At 39.3% G+C, this 23815-nt stretch overlaps 1 protein-coding gene across 25 annotated transcripts in view; it reads right to left on the reverse strand.

The window, feature by feature from the left end:
• The window catches only part of STXBP6 (syntaxin binding protein 6), a 240694-nt gene that overhangs the window by 192100 nt on the left and 24779 nt on the right, over window positions 1–23815 (reverse strand). For 10 of the 25 annotated variants that reach the window (NM_001304476.3, XM_047431293.1, NM_001394419.1 and 7 more), the window contains one exon: window positions 8972–9087. The exons of the other annotated variants lie outside the window; for them this stretch is intronic. The gene's annotated coding sequence lies outside the window, so the exon portion shown is untranslated. Of the gene's footprint in view, window positions 1–8971; window positions 9088–23815 lie in introns of those variants that run through there. 25 annotated transcript variants of the gene reach the window in all.

Consider the following 23815-nt stretch of genomic DNA (forward strand, 5'->3'; position numbering starts at 1 on the left):
ATTTCTAACATCTTCTTTTGATTCTTTCTTAGAGTTTCAATCTCTCTGCTTATATTACCCATCTGTTCTTGCATGTTGTCTATTTTTTTCCATTAGAACCCTTAATGTATCAGAGTTCTTTTAAATTCCTTGTCTGATAATTCCAACATCTGTTTCAAAATCTGGGCTCGATCATTACTTTGTCTCTTCAGACTGTGTTTTTCTTGCCTTTTGGCATGCCTTGTAATTTTTCTTGCACATGGGACATGTTTACAGGAAGTGAAGTAAGCAGGCCTTTGGTGTGGCAATTTATTTTTCCATTACAATGAATATAATGAGGGCAGACGATAGCATTATCTTCTACAATAAAGCATATTATTCAACTTATCCATAATTATTTCCTATTCAAACATGTACCTTCTCCAGGTCTTTCATCTAAAATGTATATGTAGAGTCACTAGGCTAGAGTCTCAGGCTATTACTTGCAACATCACTTAAGCCACTATGAAATATGGACACACAACACCAGTCAAGGTTAGAAAGGGCATCAATTTACGTATATCATAAACTAGGTGCTTTTCTTGTAACCCAACATATGGATACTTCATGAGGACATTCTCTAAAATTATTTCACATAAGTAGATGAGGCTAGATTAATACTTTCAGGATACTATAAGTGAATTAAAATTCAGAAAAAAATTAAATTCTTCACTATTGATCATGACAGACTATTTCACAAAAAGGTAATAAACTTCCTACTTCCAACTTTAACAATTTTTTAAAGTTAATTTATGACAGAGAATCCCATACAGTTAAATTCTTATGACTTTTTTTTTTTTTTTTTTGAGACACAGTCTCGCTCTGTCGCCCAGGCTGGAGTGCAGTGGTGTGATCTTGGCTCTCTGCAACCTCCACCTCCTGGGTTCAAGCGATTCTCTTGCCTCAGCCTCCCAAGTAGCTGGGACTATAGGCACGTGCCACCACAGCCAGCTAATTTTTTGTATTTTTAGCAGAGACGGGGTTTCACCAGGTTAACCAGGATGGTCTCGATCTCCTGACCTCGTGATCCATGTGCCTCGGCCTCTCAAAGTGCTGGGATTACAGGTGTGAGCCACCATGCCTGGCCATTCTTATGACTTTCTAAGTCCTGTTGAAGAAACAGTAATTTCCCCATCTTTGCAAATTTGGTCAAAGTTAAGCAACAAGTCAGCACTGAAATGTTTTTAAATGTACAGATTCTTTTTTTTTTTCTAAGATGGAGTTTCACTCTTGTTGCCCAGGCTGGGCAGGTTCAAGTGATTCTCCTGCCTCAGCCTTCCAAGTAGCTGGTATTACAGGCGTGTGCCACCACGCCCAGCTAATTTTTGTATTTTTAGTGGAGACGGGGTTTCACCATGTTGGCCAGGTTGGTCTCAAACTCCTGACCTCAGGTGATCCACCCGCCTCGGCCTCTCAAAGTGCTGGGATTACAGATGTGAGCCACCGCGGCCGGCCTAATGTACAGATTCTTAAATGTAAAGGTCAAGGAATCAAAGATGTGAAGATGATCTGCTTCACTGACTTTCGGCAAAAGAATCTTAAACTGACAAAAGAAGCAAGAACAGCAAGATCAGAGAAAAGCTCTGGCCAGTTTCTTTCTAAATGACCTCTGAGCTGGAGGGGAGGAGACCAGTTGTTAAGCCTAAAAATAAAGGAAGCTGTAGACAGGAGTCCCACAGGTGCTCAAAGGAGCAAGTGATGAAACCTCTAATACCAAGGAGAGCAGAGCCTCTTCCTGTGAAATATCTTCTCTCCTAGCCTTTAGGGTAATTCTAAATCACCATTCTTTTGTCGTCATTATTGAAATGTGCTTTTAGGAAGAAGCATAACAAGTCCTCCAGGGAAAGTTTTCAGCTGTAATTTTATTAGGGAAACAAGTCAAATTATGGGTGTGCATGCATCCATTTTCAGAGAATTCTCTGGAACCTTCAGTGAGTCAAGCAGGACCTAAGGTACAAACCTAGCTACCGGGCAGGAAAAGATGAATCTGTTGTTCTTTTATTAGATTGAGTCATACAGTACATGTAACATAAGAAAATTCTTTTGCTGAGAAAAGCATAAGAATGTGGTTCAGTACCATCCACCAGACATGCCCACTGTAAGTACCTTTTGGATCACATCCTACTACACTGATACAGCAACCACTTAGCATGTCATCACTTTCCCTTCTTAAATCTCATGCTGGATGACTCCTGTTACTGGCCAAGGCCAGGCCAGTGTCACAACAACAAGACAAAACATCACATGAATTGACAGCAACACAATGGCAGCAGGAAATGATGTTCCCCAGGGAAAGACCTATTCATACTTGGTGAAAGTATGAAACTAGCTCAAGCAGCTCTCCCAGTTTAAGAAATTTAAGTAACTCATTCATTCATTAAACATTTATTGTGCCATACATAATATATAAAGCACTGTTTATGCTCTGGAGTAAAGGACTAGCAGAAAGAATACAAAGAGAGTTGAGGCCTGGTGCCTACCTCAAAGGAGTACACCAGACAAGTTGACATTAACAAGAGCGAATGTGAGTGATCGTGCAAATTGAAGAGGGAGATTGCCAAAAAAGAAGAAGGCAGCTGATCCTCAAATTCTAACTTGAAATACAGTGATAGGCCAAACAAAGGGAGCCACTGAATCTGCTGAAACTACAACTAAAACGGCTGAGTAGGATTTTCTCAGGCTACACATGCCAATCCCCTCACCTCACTATCCACCATTCCCAATATTTAGCAAAGTAACAATTTTGCTTCTTCCATGCGGGCCCAGTTCGATGGAATTCAAAGGGAAAAGAGCACTCAATCAACTTTCTCTAGACAACTTGCTGCACTGCTCAAGGGTCTATGTGAGAATTATACACATGGGGGAGGGAAGGGCAATACTAAGCATGGGTGTGTACTGGACCTTGTGGTTGACCACCTGAAATAAGTTTCAAGGGCAAAACTGACTGGATTAGGAGGAACAAAGAAACAGCACCTGAAACTAATATACCTCTCAGCTCCTGACAAAGTCATTTATTGTTTAAATAATTTGGTTCCAGTGGGAGTCCCACTTGAGGCAATCTGGTCAACTAGGGTTGTTAGCTCTTTGAGGGCAGAGTCCATGTTTCTTTCATTTCTATGTATCCCGATACCACCTAGCACAAGATAGGGACTAAAATAATTGAGGAAAAGAGGGAAAGAGGAAGAAAAATCAAGGGTCAGTTCACATTCCCTAGATTCTACACTCAGCTACTGGGGAGTGCGCAGCAAGAAGCATAGCTTTCTATAAGCAATTAAGGTGAGTGCAGTAACAAGCACACACACAGCCTGGGCCTAGGAGCATAAATATCCTCATCCATGAGCACTGACTCTGCCATTCGGATGGAAACAACCAGGTCCAGTAAACTGATGAAGACAGATCCCAGCTCTGAAACTGTTGTCTTTACTGCTCTCACTTACCACACAGTCACAGTATTAGTCAGGAAAGACTAGTCACTGCGGGAGCTGATCATAATCCCAAAAGACACAATCTCAGTGAAATCTCAAAATCCTGCAAATATAATTCTTAAAAAAAAATTTAAAGACTCATTAAAAGACATTTATTTACCTTTTTAAAAGGGGATTTATTTGAGAAACAAAGATATGACACAACACTTCCTAGGTCACTTAACACAATAAAATGGACAATAACAATATACATACTTTTGAAAGCAAAAACACTCAAGTATGCTAACAACAGTTGCATGGGTATAACAATTATGAGCAGACAAACCATATTCAAAATGAAATAATTCAAAAGGGGAACTATATAAATGCACATCACTATGGTTGGTCATTGTTTGCACCTGGCTTTATGACTGCAATCATCTGAAATACTGTGATGAACAACCTAAGTCTTCTGATGAGATTGATCAAAAACCACGATGGGTCACCACCACTTATGCAGTCATCCAAAGAGCTGAGATCAAGAAATTGTATCCTTCGCAAATGCAGATGTACAAAAAGAACATCTCTTTATTTGCTGAGAAAGTTGCAACATTTTCACGTGCACACAGAATGCTTACACACAAACTCAACATGGTGATACTACACTTTTGTGGAGTCAAATTTGCAAAAATTGCATAAAAGGGATTCGAACTCTCTAAAAGTCTCTATACAATTTATTACTCCAATATTGGAAGTGATGAAAAAATAAAATACATAGCATAGTGAACTGTAAAAAATAATTCTACAAATTTAAAATAGTAGGGAAAAAACTAAAAAAAAAAAAGCTAAATAACTGAAAAGAAAATTCAACATGTAAAAATGTATATTACAGGGAAAGATTTTGGACAATCGCACAGAGACAGCCCATAAGAGCTGGCCTAACATTAACATCCTGTGATTGTGATTTTCAGAACTTTAGACATGAGGGACTTTGGACTTTAGGGATTTTGATCTTTTGGGATTTTGATGTTCAGAACTTCAACATTCAGGATTATGACACTCAGGATTATGATCCAAACTCATCACTGTCAAAATATATCCCTGACTTCTCTATAATGGCTCAAACACCTCCGAACTTTGTTCTTGCTCCCATGACAGAGAACTGGTGAATGAGGTGTTCCTCTTCCTCACGCTGAACTAGGGATTCAAGCTGATGGGCTCAGCTGTTTTCACTGTGGTCACCCCTTTGCTGGAATTCAGGCACGTGGCTGTACCTAACTCCAAAGGAGGCTGGGAAATGCATTCTTGCTGTGGGCTCAGGAAGAGGAAAACATGGATTATGCTGAGAAGCCAATAGCTTCTGCCATGGTATTTTACAGCTCTTCCTCCCCCTTCCAAGCTTTCTCTTGCTCTGTTTCTAAGGCTGCATATGTATATGTGTGTGTATACATACATATATAAAAAAACTATGTTTCTATGTAGCAAACTTTTGGTCCCATATAGATGATAAACATGAGGAACCCTCACATAAACATGGTTGATGCTTTATTTGTGAAGGAAAGGGAAGAATCTGATATTAGGGCCCAGAAGACGCACCTCTGCTTCAAGCAAGGGAGATAAATTCTGCTGTGTCCACATTCCCATTAAGGCCTTTATCAAGATCTATCCAAAAAATATATTCACGAGGGGTTCACGTCCAAGCTGGCAAACACTAGTACAGCATAAAATTTCCCTGATAAGGGCAGCAAAATGCTAAGTATTTCCTTGAGGCCCTCAATGATTCCATGTACTGACCAAGGAACATCAATCACATCTTAGATTCAGCACTTCCATCACCAACTCTAGAAGCTGGCTTTCTTCTCAGAGCAATTTTTCACCAAAAAAAAAAAAGCATATTTTACTTCAAAGGCATTTAACATATTCAGCAATAGGTAGAAACAATTCCTCACTGAAATGTGGACACAGGGAAATGGCTAAACACACACTCCGACATTAGTTACCCCATACCAGCCTCCCAAAGCAGCTGACTCAAAATTATGCCTCGGCAAAAATGCGAAATCAGCATATGACATAGACTTTCATGGTCTATCTCAAATTAAATCACTGACATGCAAATGACCTGCTCTATGACTATACTGAACTATATGCCCCTTTGGGAAGATACATATGTGATTTATCTTGCTGTCCTCCACAATGCCTTGTATACCCCATCATTCAATAAACATTTGTTGAACGAATACAATTGTTGGAATTTCTATTCATCATTAGTAAGTTATCTGCATGTGTACACGTAAGGGCTGTCAGTCTTGAGGACAAACACTTAGCTGTATGACTCATTCTGTATAAAACCTTGCTAAGAGGCGTGGGGTAAATGCTTTCTGACGGTGACTGTGATAATGGTAGTAGTAACTATGACAGCACAGTCAGCCACAATATGTAAATGACTGTTCTATTTCATGCCTGTGGGTACAATCAGTCACCACAAGTAGTACAAGACCCCAGGTCCTGACATGGTTCCCTTACCCCTCAGCACAATTCCCATCCCCTTCCCTGTTTTAGTTTTCCCCGTAGCTCATATCACTGTCTGACATATTTAACTTCTGTGTGTGTCTGTCTCCCCCACCGGAAGCTCTGTGAGGTCAGGGAATTATGTCCATGTTGTCTGGTATCCAAATCAGTGCAGGGCACATTAGAAATGCTCAGTAAACATTAGTGGAAGGAATGGATGAAATCAATACAATTATTTGAATTATTTCCTCCAAATCTGAAGATTTTGGAATCACAGAAGAAATTATTCCTGCAAAGTTCCAGTATATTCACATTCTTTTGAACATCTCAAAAGGAGGTCTCACAGACAAGCCACTTTTTGTACTAAACACAAGGTTTCTAGAAACCTGTCATTGTTCTACCATCTTAAAGTCTCCAAATAAACTGAGAATGGACAATCTCCAGGACTGGACACGCTTCTGCTAAGTTTTCACCTAACAAAAACTACATCTGCAGGCCTGGCTCACTTTCACCTGGCTCCCACTCTACTACAGAGTCCTGCAGATGGCTCTGTCAGCTGGCACTGGCACTCATGGCATGAAGCCAGAAATGAGGATAGGAAATTCCTTTAATTCAGAAACAAATTTGCCTGAGTCCCACATGAACAAAATGTTAGCTGCCAGACCCAGCTCTACACATGGGAAGTAGCCACAATTCATTTTTAAAAATTTTTTTTAAGTTTTAAAAGTTTATCTTTTTGGCCAGGTATGGTGGCTCACACCTGTAATCCCAGCACTGTGGGAGATGAAGGTGGGAGGATCGCTTGAGTCCAAGAGTTCAAGACCAGCCTGGGCATCAGAGTGGGACTCCAACTCTACAAAAAATTAGCCAGGTGTGGTAGCATATGCCTGTGGTCCCAGCTGAAGTGGGAGGATTGCTTGAGCCCAAGAGGTCGAGGCTGTAGTGAGCCATGAGCACACCACTGCACTCCAGCCTGGGAGATAGAGGGAGACCTTGTCTCAAACAAAAAGAGTTCGTCTTTCCAAATGTACCTGATAAATTACTTTAGGTTGTTAAAGACTCACTGAATGTTATAATTAATTTGACAAGCTGTTGCTTGATAGAACTTTAAAATTCATGTTTTATTTAACTTGGTGTATGGAGAACAGCGTCTATTGGCAACAATAATTCCTCTTTATTCATTTTTCTGTTGACTCTCAAATAGCAATTACATAATGCTCCCAAAGTAATGGTAAAAGAGACTACCAGCTTGAGAATGTGTAACAAAAAAGACATTTTACACATCAAAAGGTTTTATACCTATAGAATATTTTACACATCAGAAGCTTTTAGAATAGCAAGCAGTAGCATCTAACAACTCACAGAAGAATGGCTAAGCTTTTAAATCCCAAAACGAAGAGTCACTCTAACATCTTCCACCAAGACTTTCTTCACAAATACTGTGGTCAAAAGGTTTAAGTTTTTTAGCAAATACTATCTCAGCCAGCCCACCAGCCAGCCAGTATATATTATGTGCTAACTCCACAGAGAGACATGGAGAATTCTGAGAGCAAGATATGACTTTTATCACAAGTTACTGGATTCATCAGCAAAATAAAAAGGATGGATGGGATGATAGCTAAGATCACTTCTAGTTAATTTGTTTTGTTTTCACTTCAGAATGGTCTCATTCAACTATCGAACTGTATTATAAGACGTCAAGTTAAGGACGTCTTAAAGCAATTAAAAAATGAAATTTCAAAACAGTTCAATAAATGGAGAATTCTTATCACTGGGTCCTAATATCTGATGTTCTAAAACCTAAACATACAGCTTTGAAGCTTCAAATATTATTTAATTTCCCAGGGACTCTTCTCTTAAGCTCATTTGCTGATTACTTGGGTTCCTTGTTTTTCCATTTTCCTACTTGCATCTCAAAATGAGGCATAAATTATACAAATTATACAAAACTATACAATAAGTAACCAAAATACATTTCCTTCCCAGACCCAAAGCCCAAAGTGTTAGCTTGCACAGTATCATGTAGCGTAATCAAATGCACAGAAAATCTCCTCCCTCAGTGAAACAGAAACCCAACAAGCCCAGTCCGACAAAGTGAGGAGCACGCCATCGCCACAACGTCACCTACTCTTTGAGAACTTACTCCGACTTGGTGCTGACCCTGCACTAAGAGATCCAGGTTTTCTAGTCCCACTGGTTTCTGTTACAGGGCATCAAAACACCCACATGTAGCCTCTTCATGCAAAACAACATCACACACACACAAACTGCATTTAGAACCAAGCCAAATACCACAAACATTATATGTTACCAAATTTTCAGCAATATGACTGCCACTGTATGGACTACAAATCATTCAAAGCCATTATTTACTTTTTCTAGAGTGAGTGGCACTCTCCAGGGAGAAATGCTAACAGGCTACCCCCAACTCTCCTCATCAGCCTAACTTCAGTTGTTTTTTCACTAAAACACCTAAAGATACCAAACACAACTGCTAACAACAGTGGCTCACTGAGCTCCCGGGCAAAGGAAAAGAGGTCTTCAGAGCTTCAAAAGCACACTTGGAGATTCGGACACACCCTCATTCCTCTTTGGGAATCACTGATATGAGAGATTCCAGCTCAACATGCATTCCTGGAATTCTGAGTTCTCACCATAGAAACTCTAGCCAAGGCAGTCCTCAGGAAGAGCTGTTAAGTTATGGCTCACTTTATGATGGTTATGCTCACTTTAGATTTGAAAAGAGATTTATGGACTAGCCCAAAGTAGCCTCTAATCAGACTCAGAGGAAGAACATGTTTCCACGTTAATAAAACTTCTTCTCCGGTAAACCTATTCAGGCAATTAAAATGCGTTCCAATTTCTACTTCCCAAGCCTTTACATTCTTTGCTCTTAGCAAGAGAATTCAATAAACAAAACCTGAATTTTAAATCTGAATTCCAATTGCCTGAGGCTATTTTATACTTAAATAAATAAATAAGTGGCATAAATTAACAAATGTTTTGTATTTAAAATATGTTTTTATAAGGCATTTACCTACCTTTAACGCAGCCTTTTAGTTGGGACTGCACTTCATGGAAAACTCCACACACAAAGCACCTTTCCTCCTAGTACTTCAAGGTCCTTATGAAGGAGCAGAACTTTCTAAACAGGAAACTAAAGCACAGAAAGGCGGAGCCTTAGTGACACTAGAACCCCAAATTCCTGGCATTCCCCAGCTGTAAGTTCCAGGCTCCCATCATCATATACTACATGCTTTGCATGTGGAGACGGGTCTGTTTGATGATTTTTTTTTTCTTTTCTTTGGGGGATAGGATTTGGTCAAAGTGACAAACATGAAAGAAAACAAAATTTTGACAAGACCAATGGTGGTGGTGTGGAGTTTCAAAGCCCATCCTATGAAAGAACCACCTTTCTACTTTACATACTGACTTTCTGTATTCTAAAACTACCTTCAACAAAGTCAATGAGATGACTTGCTGGAAAAGCCCATGAAAATGACAGTCTAAATATAGAAATCTAAATGCAACTAATTACTTAAATCAGATATTGAGACCGTTTCACAATGGCAGATTTAATGTTGAGAAAAATAACAAGCAAGGCTACAGTGCAAAATGAATTTGTCTATAACTACAAAAACTAGTTTAGTATTAAAGATCTACTTTCCAACAAAGAAATTTATATTCCATTAAGAACCCTGCAACCTTTGACATAGTCTTTGTTTCACTCCCCACCAGAACCACAAAGTAATTATGACACACCTGACATATTATGACACACAGGCTCTGATCCAAGCTTCCTACAAGATGACACTTTTCCAGATGGCACCTGAGGCTGTCAGGTACCGTCAAGTATTTCCTATGTTGGAAAAATACTCAAGGATATTACATAAGACTGCTCCTCTCCTGTATATGCACTAACTTCAGAAAGCCACTGCTAACTGTTTTGGAAACACACTTCCTTTTCTCATGATAGAAACTCTTTCATACCTGGGAAATAAGAGCTAATGTTGTTCATTAGCCAAGAGAAGCTAAGGTTATTGGGCATTGTGACAAAATGGCACGTTACTGGGTTCAGTCCAAGAGAATGAGACAAAATAATGTTTTCCCTGAGCCCCAGAGACTACAAAATCCAGTTATATTTTAAGTAGCCATTTTTAGAGATTTATATACTGTTCAGTGATAAAAATAAATGAGAGTCCCAGGCTTAAGGCACCATTATTCAGCTTTTAAAATTGCAGCATGTTTTCTTGCAGGATTTGGTTCAGCCAACTACAGGATGAAAAAAAAGTATTTCTAAGCTACATAGGTGAGCAATAGATTGGATCCTGGGTTCACAAATTAGTGGAAAACATATGAGCCATTAACGAATTCCACAGGCAAGGCAGGCTCTTCTCTGGATGACTGAGATCTTCAAAAGTCAATACTCTAAAAAACTATTACTACATTTTGAATTTCCTACTGTGACCAGAAAAGCAACATATTCGGAGTACTGGCTGTTTTTTGTTTTTGTTTGTGAGACAGGATCTCGTTCTGTCACCCAGGTGCAGTACAACGGGACAAAAACAGCTCACTGCAGTCTCAGATTTGACTAGAGTCAAATTCTAGTTTTGCCACTTATTAGCTGTGAGACTTGAAGCAGATCACTCAGGCATACACAAAAATGGAGTTAAAAAAAATGGAGCTAATTTATAAGGCCACAAGTGATTATATGTATGTAGCATGAAACATAAAAGATGAGCCTAGAATAGTAGTTCTCAAGTTTGTTGGTCTTAGGACGCCTTTACACTCTTAGAAATTATTCAAGACTTCAAAGAGCTTACCTTAAAAAATTCTAGAAAACATAAGAACATGCATGCACACAGTCAGGCATGTTGGCTCACATGTGTAATCCCAGCACTTTGGGAGGCCGAGGTGGGGGTACTCGAGGCCAGGAGTTTGAGACCAGCCTGGCCAATATGGCAAAGCCCCATCTCTACTAGTGCCAGTAGTCCCAGCTATCTGGGAGTCTGAGGCAGAGGAATCACAATCACTTGAACCCAGGAGGTGGAGGTTGCAGTGAGCTGAGATTGCACCACTGCACTGCAGCCTGGGCAACAAAGCAAGGCTCTGTCTCAAAAACAAAAAAACAAACAAACAAACAAAAAAACATACATTCCAATAGTCAATATATGGTTTCTAGAAAACTTCACTATATACAGGTAAGAGAATAAGAATAAAACAGGTAAATTATGTCTTATTATTATGAAAATTGTTTTGACCTTATGGACTCACTAATAGGGTCTTGAGAACCCCTAGGCATCCTCAGACTACACTTTGAGAACCATTGGCCTAGCATACAAAAAGCAGGGAAACTCAAAGACTATTAAGGTTATATATCAAAAGGATTCAGGAGACCACACAAAGGGATTCCCATCGGCCAAAGATGAGACAATTTTAGTTTCAATAAGAATAAAGGAAATGGCCTGGAAGGTGGCTTATGCCTGTAATCCCAGCACTTTGGGAGGCTGAGGTGGGAGGATTGCTTGAACCCAGTAGTCTGAGGCTGCAGTGAGCTACGATAGTTGCACGGCACTCCAGCCTACATGACAGAGAAAGACCCCACCTCTTAACAACAACAACAAAGAATCAATGTAATGGTTTGAAACATCAAATATTTTAAATTAATGAATTCTTGATGAGCCACCAATTTCTCTTTTTCTCTTTCCCCAGCTCCCCAAATTGGTTATCTCTGGATGCTAGGGAGCCAAATATTTTGAAAACTGGTAGATAAATGGAAAGAATCGAACATTTTTCTTGCCTTTTCTATACAACTGTACCTCAGGATAGCCAAACAGATGATTGGATTGGCTAGATTATTCTTCATAGAAGTAGTCTAGCTAATAAATGGAGAAATGATTGACATGAAATAACATTTTAAAACTCCTAATGAATTGATGGATTTAGACAGCAAAATCACCATTGGCTATCAACATCTCTCTTTCACACACACACACACACACACACACACACACACACACCCCTAAAGGTAAGTGTCTTCTCATGGGAATACATAACACTGCTCATATAGTACTTTTGACAAAAAATTGAAACAGAATTCAATCTAGCCTCTAAATGTAACTACCAGTTCACAAGAAATACAGAGGCTAGAGGAATATGTTAAACAGAGGAACATTTAACATTTAACTCCATGAGATGGAATCAGCAAAATCCAGCCAGTGGGAAAAATTTACAGAATAAATGATCCCATTTGACAAAAAAAAAAAAAAATAGATCACAAGGAAAAGATAGTGAAGGGTGAATCCACAGATTAAAAGGGACTGAAGAGGCATGTCAATCAACTGCAATGTGTAGACCTTATGTGGATACTGTTACAAACTAAAGAGAAAAATAATGAGAAAAACAAACAAATGTGAACACTGACTAAATAGCCCATATTTGATTGTTAGAGAATTTTTTTAGTGTAATAATGGCATTAATAGTATTAAAAAAGAGTCCTTATCTTTTAGAGATGTGTACCCAAATATTTACTAATAAAATAATAGGATGTCACGGATTTGTTTCAACATAATCCCTGGTAGAGAGAGGAGGCTAAGATCTAGATGAAACAAGATTGGCCATAAATTAACCATTGTTGAAGCTGAGAGAGAGGCACATAGGGTCTGCTATTATATTCTCTTGTACTCCTGTGTACGTTTGAAATTTTCTGTACCAAAAAGTTAAAAATATGGCTGGGTGTGGTGGCTCACGCCTGTAATCCCAGCACTTTGAGAGGCCGAGGCAGGTGGATCACTTGAGGCCAGGAGTTCAAAACCAGCCTGGCCAACATGGTGTAACCCCTTCTCTACCAAAAATACAAAAATCAGCTGGGCTCAGGAGACTGAGGCAGGAGAGTCGCTTGAACCTGGGAGGCACAGGTTGCAATGAGCCAAGATCGTACTGCTGCATTCCAGCCTGGGCGACAGAGGGAGACCCTGTCTCTAAATAAATAAATAAAATAAAATAAAAATTAAAAGCAGCCATGAAAATGTCTACTTGTCTTCTCTTGACTTCTCCACCTATACTGTGAGATGCTGAGAGGCAAGCCTTGCACACTCAGCTACCGTGCAAGGCACAGAGTCCGTGTCCACAGAACACTTGATAAACTAGGCTATCAGCCAAAGATTTGCAAAGGTGAACTGTGACAGGGTATGTTCTGCAAAGAAGTTCTGAGTCAGCTGTCTCTGAACCGTAGACATCTCTCCAACAAAGCAGAGAACAAAACTGTATTTATAGTATGATAACCAAGAAAGATAAACAAAAACTCTACACAGAAAACTGTTTAAAAAGCTTTTCACATAAAAAGAAAATACATGAAAACAGTACTTTTTTTTCTCTTGGATATAGGGAATATGAGAATTTGATTTTCTTTGCTTCTATTTCTCTCAATCTCCCAAATTTTCTGTAATTACCATATTATTTTAAATGTTGGAGAATACCATAACTTTTTTACTTTTAAATCACTTATATCAAAGCTCTATTGATGGCTGCTTTTACATAATATTTCATTGGTTATATTTCTATGAGCCTTTTGACTTAGATAAACGAACAGTATTATAATGAAGAAAATACTGAAAACTATCATTGAGGGATTTTAAAATTGAATTCTAAAAGCAGTATGAGAACACCCTTATTTACATTGGGGAAGGGAAAGATAACCATTATCTTTTTCTCTACAAAATAAAAGAGAACTGCTTTAAAAAAAAATCACATTTGAACAACCTGGATCAAGGGGATTTCTCTGGTTCTTCTAAAACCTCAGTTTCAGTGCAGGAAGCTGGAGACAGAGATATCTGGGACCTAATGAAGGGGCCTCTTGTGCACTCCTCTATACCCCCTGTTCCAGACACATACCCTGCCCACCCAACCCACAGTCTCCACCCCTTCCATTAGCCCCAGGGAGGCAGAAAATAAAGGAGTTTAATTTAATGTCAAGATTCCACACCTGGCAAGACAATATTCTCCAAGGGAAAGTTCATCCCACAAAAAGAAATGGATTTATTATTTTTTAGAAAAAAAAAATCCTTTTGATAAAGATTCTTAAAGAACTAGGCAACAGTCAGAATCCCGGAGCAAGTTTCAATTATTTCACTTAGAAAATAACTGAAAGAATATGTGCACCAATGACTATTAATAATTGAACATGAAAAAAGAAAAATGTTAGAAATTTGGTGTGGATAATTGTTATGTTTTCCACACGGGTCTAATTAAAGTTGATTTAGACTGCATAGTGCCTTTTTTTGTAACCCTGTTATTAAATTAACAAACAACAACAAGGAAAAAAAAAAAAAAGCTCAAACTGCTACTTCTCCTGTGCTTTACACATATTCTGGGAGGCTGAACTCAAAGTGAGGAAAAAAGTCAAACAACTCAACATATGGCAGTGTCACCTTGTAGCTAAGAGTGTGAACTTTGAACCAACTGCCAAGGTTAAAATTGCTGATCTGCCATTGACTAGCTGTGTGACCTTGGAGACACTGTGCAGCTTCTCTTGCATTATGGGTTCCTCAACTAAAAAATAAAGTTATGAGTGGAAGTGTCAGAGGGCTGTTGTAATAGTTGAGATGAGAAATGAAAAATGCTTAGGTGAGTGCCTAACACCATGCACGCTCAATAAATGCTACCTACTATTCTTATTATAACCTATTATACTTTTTTCCTACTTTCCCCTTTTATTCTTCTTTTTCACCCAAGGAAAAAAAGATTTTTACAAACTTCTATTTGTTTAGCCTCATCAGTAAATACTGTTATCTATTTTAAAGATTGACTCTATTTTCCCCAGGGTAGAAATTAATTTTTTCTTTAAAAAAAAATTAAAATGGAGTTAGCTTCCTCTTTACTTTGTGCTAATCAGAAATGGTACCAGAGCCCTAATTCCTTGAACCTAGAAAGAATCACAGTTACTGAGGTCCTAGGCAATCCTCAGAGAGTGAGTATTTCCTGGCCTTCCCCACCCAAATCCTTTGTAGTGGGGATCTATTTTCCAGTTTTACTAAATCCCTCATAGCTCTTTTCAAGTGTAAAGGAATTCTGAAAATCCACGCCAAAAAGATCGTAAGAAATTCACATTCTAGAGAAAGAAATCCAAGTCTTAAAATGCCTACATGTCACATACAACTTTTACGCAAAAGAACATGCTTGATGTGTTTTTACTATCAGGGAGACTCCTGGTTTGTGAACTTACTAAATAGGATGTGAAAAGGATTGCTGGAATCATAAAATTAAGCTAGGAAAGCATAAAACTTTAAAAAAATAAACAATATATTCCAGGCTACAAGGAAGCATGTAGAAAAGGAGATGGCATGGCTTCACACAATACTTCGGGCTCTAATTACATGTGTATTTGGTATGAGAACTAAAAGGAAAATTATAAGGCTTGCATTGAAGAAAAGAAGTTGGCAGATAGAGGAAATAGGAGAAATTGGAGGTAAGTGCCGTCCAGCTGTATAGTACATAGTGCGGAGTATGCAGTTAAACGCTTCTTAGAAATTACTACAAATAGTCCAGTAATGGCAGAATCAGTAACCTGGTCAACTAGATGCCAGGTATAAAGTAGTATCTCTAATTTTACATATTTGCACTTAAGCACAAGCGTGTGTAATAAGAATTTTTTATTCACCAGAATTCTTGGAAAATAAACAGAATGTATTTGTGCTAGTTGGTAGGGTATAAAAGGAAGGACTTCTCACTCCTCTACGGCCGCCCCTATGTGGGTAGAACTTTGATTAATGTTCAAGGGAGAAAGAATATGAAATAGGGATAGAATTGGCAGAGCTGGTGAAAGACCACCCATGTCATACTGTGACTCTTCAAGTGTTCACTAAAGCCTATCTGATGGGACTAGATTTCCTATGGAAACTGGTATGAGGGAAATGCTGTATTCAGAATCTCCATGAGAGATGCAGAAACAGCTTTTTAGGAAGCAGAAACTCAGAGGCAGAGGAAGTATAAGTCACTAGAAGGCTTTGGGTTGATCCAAAGGGCAGGGAATACCAGTTGATACTTGGTTACCAAGATAAAAGCTTGACAGTATAAGGTAAGGATGCAATGTATTCAAAGATCAGAGACTCCAGGGGAACCTACAAGTTGTGGTCATTTGATTAAGGGTGGCCTTGGGCCACAATACATCTCAATGACTTACTTGGCTCTAAGTAATCCCTGGGGAACATTAAAGAGCAGGAGTGCTTTCAAGAGAGTTTTCTTCCAACTCTCAGAACAAACATGGGAGGAAGATAGCATCTGGAGCCCTGAGGACTTACTGGACCCTGTGGTTTCCCCAGGCCTTGGTTCACAGTGGGCAAGGTAGCACAGTGGTTGCGAGCTCCAACTGTGAGGCTCAATTGCCTCACCCGTTGAGTGTGAATCTCTGCTTGCTATCCAGTAGCTCAAATTCAGTAGTTGTTCTGTTTGCTCAGGCTTCTATCCTGAATTTTCTCTTTCCAAATGCTCTTGGTCGTGGATCACCCATAGGTCTTCTCCTCAAGTAAGCAATCACAAGACTTCTCTATAACACACCATACACTGCCCCCCTGCTCAGCACATCCAGAAAACACATTCTTAACCTGATCTTTGTATGTCTTCCTTTCTGTTCTATCACCATTGTGTTGTACTGCTTTTTTATCTTCCCATTCTTCCTCCAGTGTGCATAAATAGGACTTCCGGAGATTCTTAATACATCTCCAATGCCAGCCATTGCCCGTGGCTTCTGACTTGCCTGCAACTGACTCCTAACACAGCTAAATACTAGCGTGGGTGCCTACCCCAGGCCTAGGCAGCAATGCACTAGACCCCCCTAGTTCCCACAGAGTGATCTTTAATAATGGTAAACTAGAGTTATCCCTAAGACCCTAAACCCTCCCGGTTTTACAAAGTACCAACCCAGAATTTACTAAAAATACCAGAGGTAGAAGCCAACCATCTGAGAGGGGTAATATAATAAAATATCAGGGGGCCCCAAACCTCTATATTCTATGCCATTCTTTGGCATTGCCACCCAGGGTTAGGGCACTCTCCTGACACTCTATCTCTTTCTCCCCATCTTTCCACACTCCTTCCTCAAGGGTGATTTTCAGAGTCATGAATGTTGGCATAGCAGGAAAAACCTGGTTCAGGAATCCACAGAGCTGTGTCCTGGTCTCAATCTGCCAATATACACAATATGGCCTAGGGACAGTCACCAACCTCTCTAGACCATTGCTTCCTTCTATGTCACACTGTAGATGCTGAAGTCTGTTTCTAGCCTTGACCTGCCTATGCAATAAGTTCTTAGTTTATAAAATTCTTCAATGTAGGATCTTTCTGATCAACCACCCAGGCCCAATAAGAATAGCTACCACCAACTAAGAACACACCATGGGCCAGACATTATTCTTGGCAGTTTACAATCTCAACTGACAATTGCTAGAGGATCTTAAGGAGGCTAGGGCTCCTTGGCTGCAATTTAACTCAATTCCTTTCTGCTCTGTTGAGCCCAAGAAGCAATACTCGGTAGGCTTCTACCTCATCTTCCACACTTTTTACTATGCCTAGTGAAGATGTACACAAAAGTATGGGAGAATAAGAAGCCACAGAAGGCTTATGTCCAGAATGAACTAATCATTTGTCCATAGAAACATGCTGAGAACAAAGCAGGTAATTCAGTTATAATGCTTATCAGAAACTTTATGTTCTTACTAGAGACAATTGAAGCAATCCTTAAAGGCCTGAAGCTCAAGGTAGGAGAATCCAAGTCTCAGGACTCTCTAATATCTGGGGGTCTAAAGGAACTTGTGGATTGTTAAGCCTTGAGTTGTACAGAGAAGTGATTCTTTCCTTGGGAATAGTTTGAGAAAAAAAAATCCAAGATTTTTCACAACCTTAAGAATCTATCAAAGAGCTAACTTAGTAAATTACATAGACAAACAATAAACACAAAAGAGTCAAAGAAAAGGACAATCTATATCATGTTGGACTTATTCATTCCTCCTTTTGCCTTTACTTTTCCCTATCCTAACATAAGGAAATAGATTTAAAGAAAACAGAGTGAATTGCCTGGTTGGCAGCAAAACTGCTGTAAGCTATAAGACATTTCATTCCACAGCAGATATCTTGAGTGCTGAGGGACTTCTGCCATCTTTGCTCATCATCCTCAGCAGGAAACCTGGACACTCTTGCCCCATGCTTTATTTACCTAATCTTTCCAGAATCAGTAACAAATAGAGCTGTATCTGAAAACTGCATGACCAAATTCTTTTTTAGATTATAGATTTCTGCATATTGACTAGGCAGTAAGGATTTTTATCACAACCGTCAGATGTTTTGAGATGATCAAGTTTAGTATCTTATTATAAAATACAAGTTTCGTGGGTTTTTTTTTTTTTTTTTGGTGAGTCTTTCAAACTCCTTTCCCTCTCAAGTATAAAAAATGCTGGTTCTGTCCAACGATTTGCCATTCACAGAAGTAATTTTTGAGCTCTAAGATTACTGCATATAAACTATAGACTGATGGGCCTGCTTGGTTTCAGTTACTGCCAAAGCCTGATATACATTACACATGACAACAGATGTCTCCAACACAGCTTCCTACTTACTCTCCAAAGCTCATCACAGTGACAGCCACAAGGGATTCAGTTAAACTTGGCCTGTTCTTGAAGGTTTTGATTGCACTGCCAGTCACCTTCAGAGGCAATATGACCATGTGAGGCAAAAAGGAGAACCAAATTATCCCAGCAACTAAAAATTCTAGGAACTCAAGATGTTTAAATGACTTACATTTTCTCTAGTAACATAAAGTGATTAAAGATACATTTTTTTCTGATAAAATATCACTCCTAGTATATATTTTGAAAACAAAGAGGTGAACCCAAATATACTCCTCCAGCTGAATTTCCAATGAAATCAAAGGTAAGGAGGTTTAGAGGAAATAGAAAATCTGTTCTTAACAAATAACCAATCCAATTAAATCATTCGAACCCTGACCAAATTCTGCCTCTCCTCCCCTAATCCTGCAATCACATAGACAACCTCAATACCCAACCCTATCGAAACTCTGGTTTCTGTTTTCTGAAATGTCTCTGAATGTCCTCACATTCAACGACATTCTCTTCCACTCCACCTGAGACACCTACCACCCATCAAATGGTCTACCCTTTGACTACAATATCCTCAGCTTCAGCTTCCTTATTAAAATCCTTCACTGTGATCAACCATTTGGGCCTCATCAGAAGTGTCACTGCACATCCCTTCTCACTCAGCTTCCTTTCTAATGGTCGTGGTTTTGATAACACGCTTTCCATAGCACTGCTGCAAAATGCCCTAACTTGCCTTGCTCAACCTCCCTTTGTCTTTCCCCTTCCGCCCAACCCCAGTCTTAGATGATGCCTACTGTATCTCTGTCTGTGTCTACAACTGTGCACCTGGACACTGGAGAAAGCCATACGCAGGCAGATTCGTGAGTACCAACTGCAAATGCATTCTCAGCCAGGCTGGGCAACCCTACCACATTTCTCTTACCAAATCATTCTCACCATTCTCTCACTCTCCTCAATGACTAGTTCACTCTTAAACCTCCACCTAACACTTCTGACATCCACACCACCACCACCCCCATTCCCAAATAGTCATTCTCAGGTGGAGGCCATCTCATCCAGCAACTTCCCACCATCAGACTAATTTACAATTGTAGCAGCCTTCAGCTTCTTCCCTCCTGTTGCATCTTGTTCTCTCCTTTCATCTTAGGCCAACCACTCCATTTGGGCTTCAGATTCCACTCCATCCTACCTTTTCAGGCTCACATGATCAATTCTCCCTTTCCTCTCCTGTTTATGCAATCAATTTCTCCCTTTCAACTAGATTCTTCCCATCATCACTTCAGCATACTCAAGTCCTGCCTTTAAAGCACTCCAACTCTGCCTCACATGACTCTAGTTACTGCCTTATTTATCAGTTTCCCGTTACAGGAAAAATAGAAGAATAGGGTGTCTTCATTTTTTTTCACCTCCTATTCATTTTTCAACCCACAGCAATCTGGCTTGGCCCCATCACTCACTATAACACCTCCAGTTCAAGTCAATGACCACTTTGTTGCCAAATTCAAACCAGTTGACATCTTGATGGTATTGGCAATGTTGACCAATTTCTCCCTGAAAACTCCTTACCTTGTCCTCCATGACCGATGCTTTCCTTTCTACTGCCATGGCTCCCTTCTCCTTACAGACTTGTCCTCTTCTACCTATTATTTAGGGTTTAAGCTTCTCAAAGCTTGAACCTAGGCCCCCTTTCTCTTTTCATTCTATACAAGGGGTCAAAGGCCTTGCTACCCATAGGGGAAAGCAACTAATACAATTAAGTGAAGCAAATCAACTTTCATTTCCCTCTCAACGCTATTATACAACTTAAAACACAGTAGAATGAGCAAGATAACTGTCAACAGATCCTAGGCATCAAGGGAAGATGACAATAGGGAGTGGTATAGGCCTATAATAAAGCCCATGCTCCAACTAGAACAAGTTACTCAGCTCAAGACAAAAATCCTGATTTCTATGTGAAAACTCACAATTTTAAAAGTCTTGGCAACTGTGTCAATTAAAATTCTTTCTGGTACAAGTAAAAGAAATCTTGGTTCAAAATGAGTTACACCAAAAGGAGAATGTATTGGCTAATTTAACTAAAAGCCTAGAAGTACATAGTGGCCCAGGGTTAATCGATATGATTAGGGCCAGTTTCTTTAACTGGATTCCACTTCTTTGTTGTCTCCACTCTCAGATAAGCTCTACCCTAGGGTAGCAAGGCAGTTCCTAGACCTCCAGGCCACATCCTGCCAAGTTTAAGCAGAAAACAAGAAACTCTCTCTTCCTAGAGTTCCCCCATAGGCTCAGAATTCCCTGTGATTGGGCCAACTTGAATCAGAAGTCCATTCTTGAACCAACCATTACGGCCAGGTAAGTTGGGGAATGATTGGCTCACCCTGGGTCACACACTTCATCTAGGGTCAGAGGTAGAACTTGATCTATAACACAAAGTCTGAGATTGGAGGACAGAGAATTTCTCAAAAGGAAATTAAGGTGCTGCTACCAAAAAAGAAAATCGATACTGGGCAGCCAAAAAACCATAAACATATGCTACAGCAACTCATTCAAATATTTTAAAAACATTACACAGGCCAAATAAAACAGGTTTGCTGGCTGATGGTTTCTTGTCAATCTCTAGTTCCAATCCTCCTTTCTCTACTTGTTTCCTAGGTGATCTCATCCAAGACTGAGTCTTCACCTACCATCTCTATACTGAAAATGCCACATTTTTATCTGACTCACAAATTCAACTGCCTACTCAACATCACCACTTGGATGCCTCAAACTCATCTCCAATTCAATTTGTCCAAAATGAAATTCATGATGTTCCTACACCTCACCCCTCTCCTACCCAAAGCTGGCCTTCCTCAGAGTTCTTATTGCAAGGGAAGATGGGGTAAGGGGATACTTGTTACTTTAGCATTAGCAGCCATAAAACATGGTCCTAACCTGAATGTTGGTACTACAAGTCTCCAAAAAGCATTTTAAAATCTTCAACAAGGACACTGAAAACTCTTAGCAGAATTCCAAGGATGCAAATGACTACTTCACTTATAAACAAGCGGGGATCATTAAGATATGCTCTTCTAACGTCTTTAATTATTAACTATGGTTTGAACTTGGTAGAATTTTATCCTATTAGGTGTAATATCAAATGGGAGTCTACTTTACTATAAATGTATCATGATTCCACAGAAAGTTTTTTGGAATAGGACAAACACGACTGAGATATTGTTTGAAAAAAAAAAAGCCCGTCAGAAAGTCAACTGTATGACTATTGAAATTCTTTTTGTTTTCAAATATTTTTTACAAATTTGATATCTTGATTCATCTAAATTTGCAGTTGCCATTTTCCATCTCTTCCCAATTTATTTTTAAGACACATATAAATAAAGTTTCATCATAACAAATAACAAAAGGGGGAGAGGCTGTCAAGGGACATCCAAAGGTGCTTTTGTGGCTGGGCGGTGGCTCATGCCTGCAATCCCAACAGTATGGAAGGCTGAGGTGAGAGGATTACTTGAGGCCAGGAGTTTGAGACTAGCCTGGGCAACATAGCAAGACCCCGTTTCTTAAAAGAAAAAAAAATTATAAATAAGCCAGGTATGGTGGCTACTCAGGAGGCTGAGGTGGGACAATCACTTGAGCCAAGAAGATGGAGGTAACCTATGATCATACCACTGTATTCCAGCCTGGGCAATGGAAGAAGACTGGAATGCAATGGAATGCAACAAAAAACAAAGGTGCTTTTGCTTCTCTGTTTCTTAGTACAGCCATAGTCTTTTAGCAAACATATTATCTGATTTGATCCTGACAACCTGGGAGGTCGATAGGGCACATATTTGGCAATATAAGAAATCACTGATTATAAGATGCATGATTATTTTATGTACCACTATACTAGGAGGAAAAAACACCACAAAACCATAACAAACAATGTACTATAAAACACATCTTGGCCGGGCGTGGTGGCTCACACCTGTAATCCCAGCACTTTGGGAGGCCGAGGTGGGCAGATCACAAGGTCAGGAGATCGAGACCATCCTGGCTAACACGGTGAAACCCCGTCTCTACTAAAAATGCAAAAAATTAGCCGGGCATGGTGGCACACGCCTGTAGTCCCAGCTACTCAGGATGCTGAGGCAGAAGAATTGCTTTAACCTGAGAGGCGGAGGTTGCAGTGAGCCGAGATTGTGCCATTGCACTCCAGCCTGGGTGACAGAGTGAGACTCTGACTCAAAAAAAAAAAAAATTTTGTTTTCAGTTATGTTAAAATGTAAAATAAACAAAAATGTCTTAGAATCTGTGAAAAACTATCAGAAGCCTCACTTCACAGATAAGGAACCAGAGGCTCAGAGGTTATCCAAAGTTAAAGGTAGTAAGTTCAAGAACGAACTTGATCCTGTGGGATCAGTTTCCTAATTTGTTTTTCCACCAGTCCAGCTCCTGGGACTGAATGATCTCTAGTTACTTCTGGGGCCCCAAAAGCTTTTCTGATACAAAGTTAGTAAAGGACAATCAACAACAAATCATTTCAATAAATGCTTTTAAATTGACATGGATTCTAATACTGAGAATAATTTAGAACTTGACTTTTCTCCAACTCCTAGACAGCCTAGCAATACTGCTAGCATAAATAGCAACAGATGCCAGGTGTGTTAAAATAATAATAATAAAAAAAGATTACATCTTTAATTTCACTGCTAATTCAGTAGAGGGCAGGTTGGGACAAAAACTTACAGTTGACTATTAATTTTAAGTGTGATTCACAAGATGACTTTCACTTATGAAGCATTATTATAGGCCTTTGGTCAACTAAAACTTTCTTCTGTAATAAATGATGTCCATTTAATGATTTTTTTTGTTGTTGTTTCTATGTTTCAAAAATACCCACATGGAAAGGTGCCATATTATACCTAATTATTGCACAAACTAATGCAAAGTAAATGTGTAAGCCTAACAGTTCTAATCAGCCTGTGCAGAAGGCCTTTTGATTTCAACATCCAACATTCATTAAAAAGAAAATGTGTTACAAAAAGCCAAGAAATTTTGGTGTGTGGGATTTGAATAAGACAGATAGGCTTAACTCATGAGAAGGCTTTTTTTTTTAATTTAAATCTAATTATTTTACATTTTGTATTTCCCACAACACTTAGAGCAGAGTTTTAAACAAAGAAGCTGGATAATAAGTGCACATAATGAGATATATATTAGGGAAAATGACATTTTGCTAAATGTTCCTTCTTCCTATCCCTATGCTGGTTCTGGAGGAGAAAGTCTGGCAGATTCTTGGTGGTG

The sequence above is a fragment of the Homo sapiens genome, chromosome 14 (genome assembly GCF_000001405.40).
Source record: "Homo sapiens chromosome 14, GRCh38.p14 Primary Assembly".
NCBI lineage: Eukaryota > Metazoa > Chordata > Mammalia > Primates > Hominidae > Homo > Homo sapiens.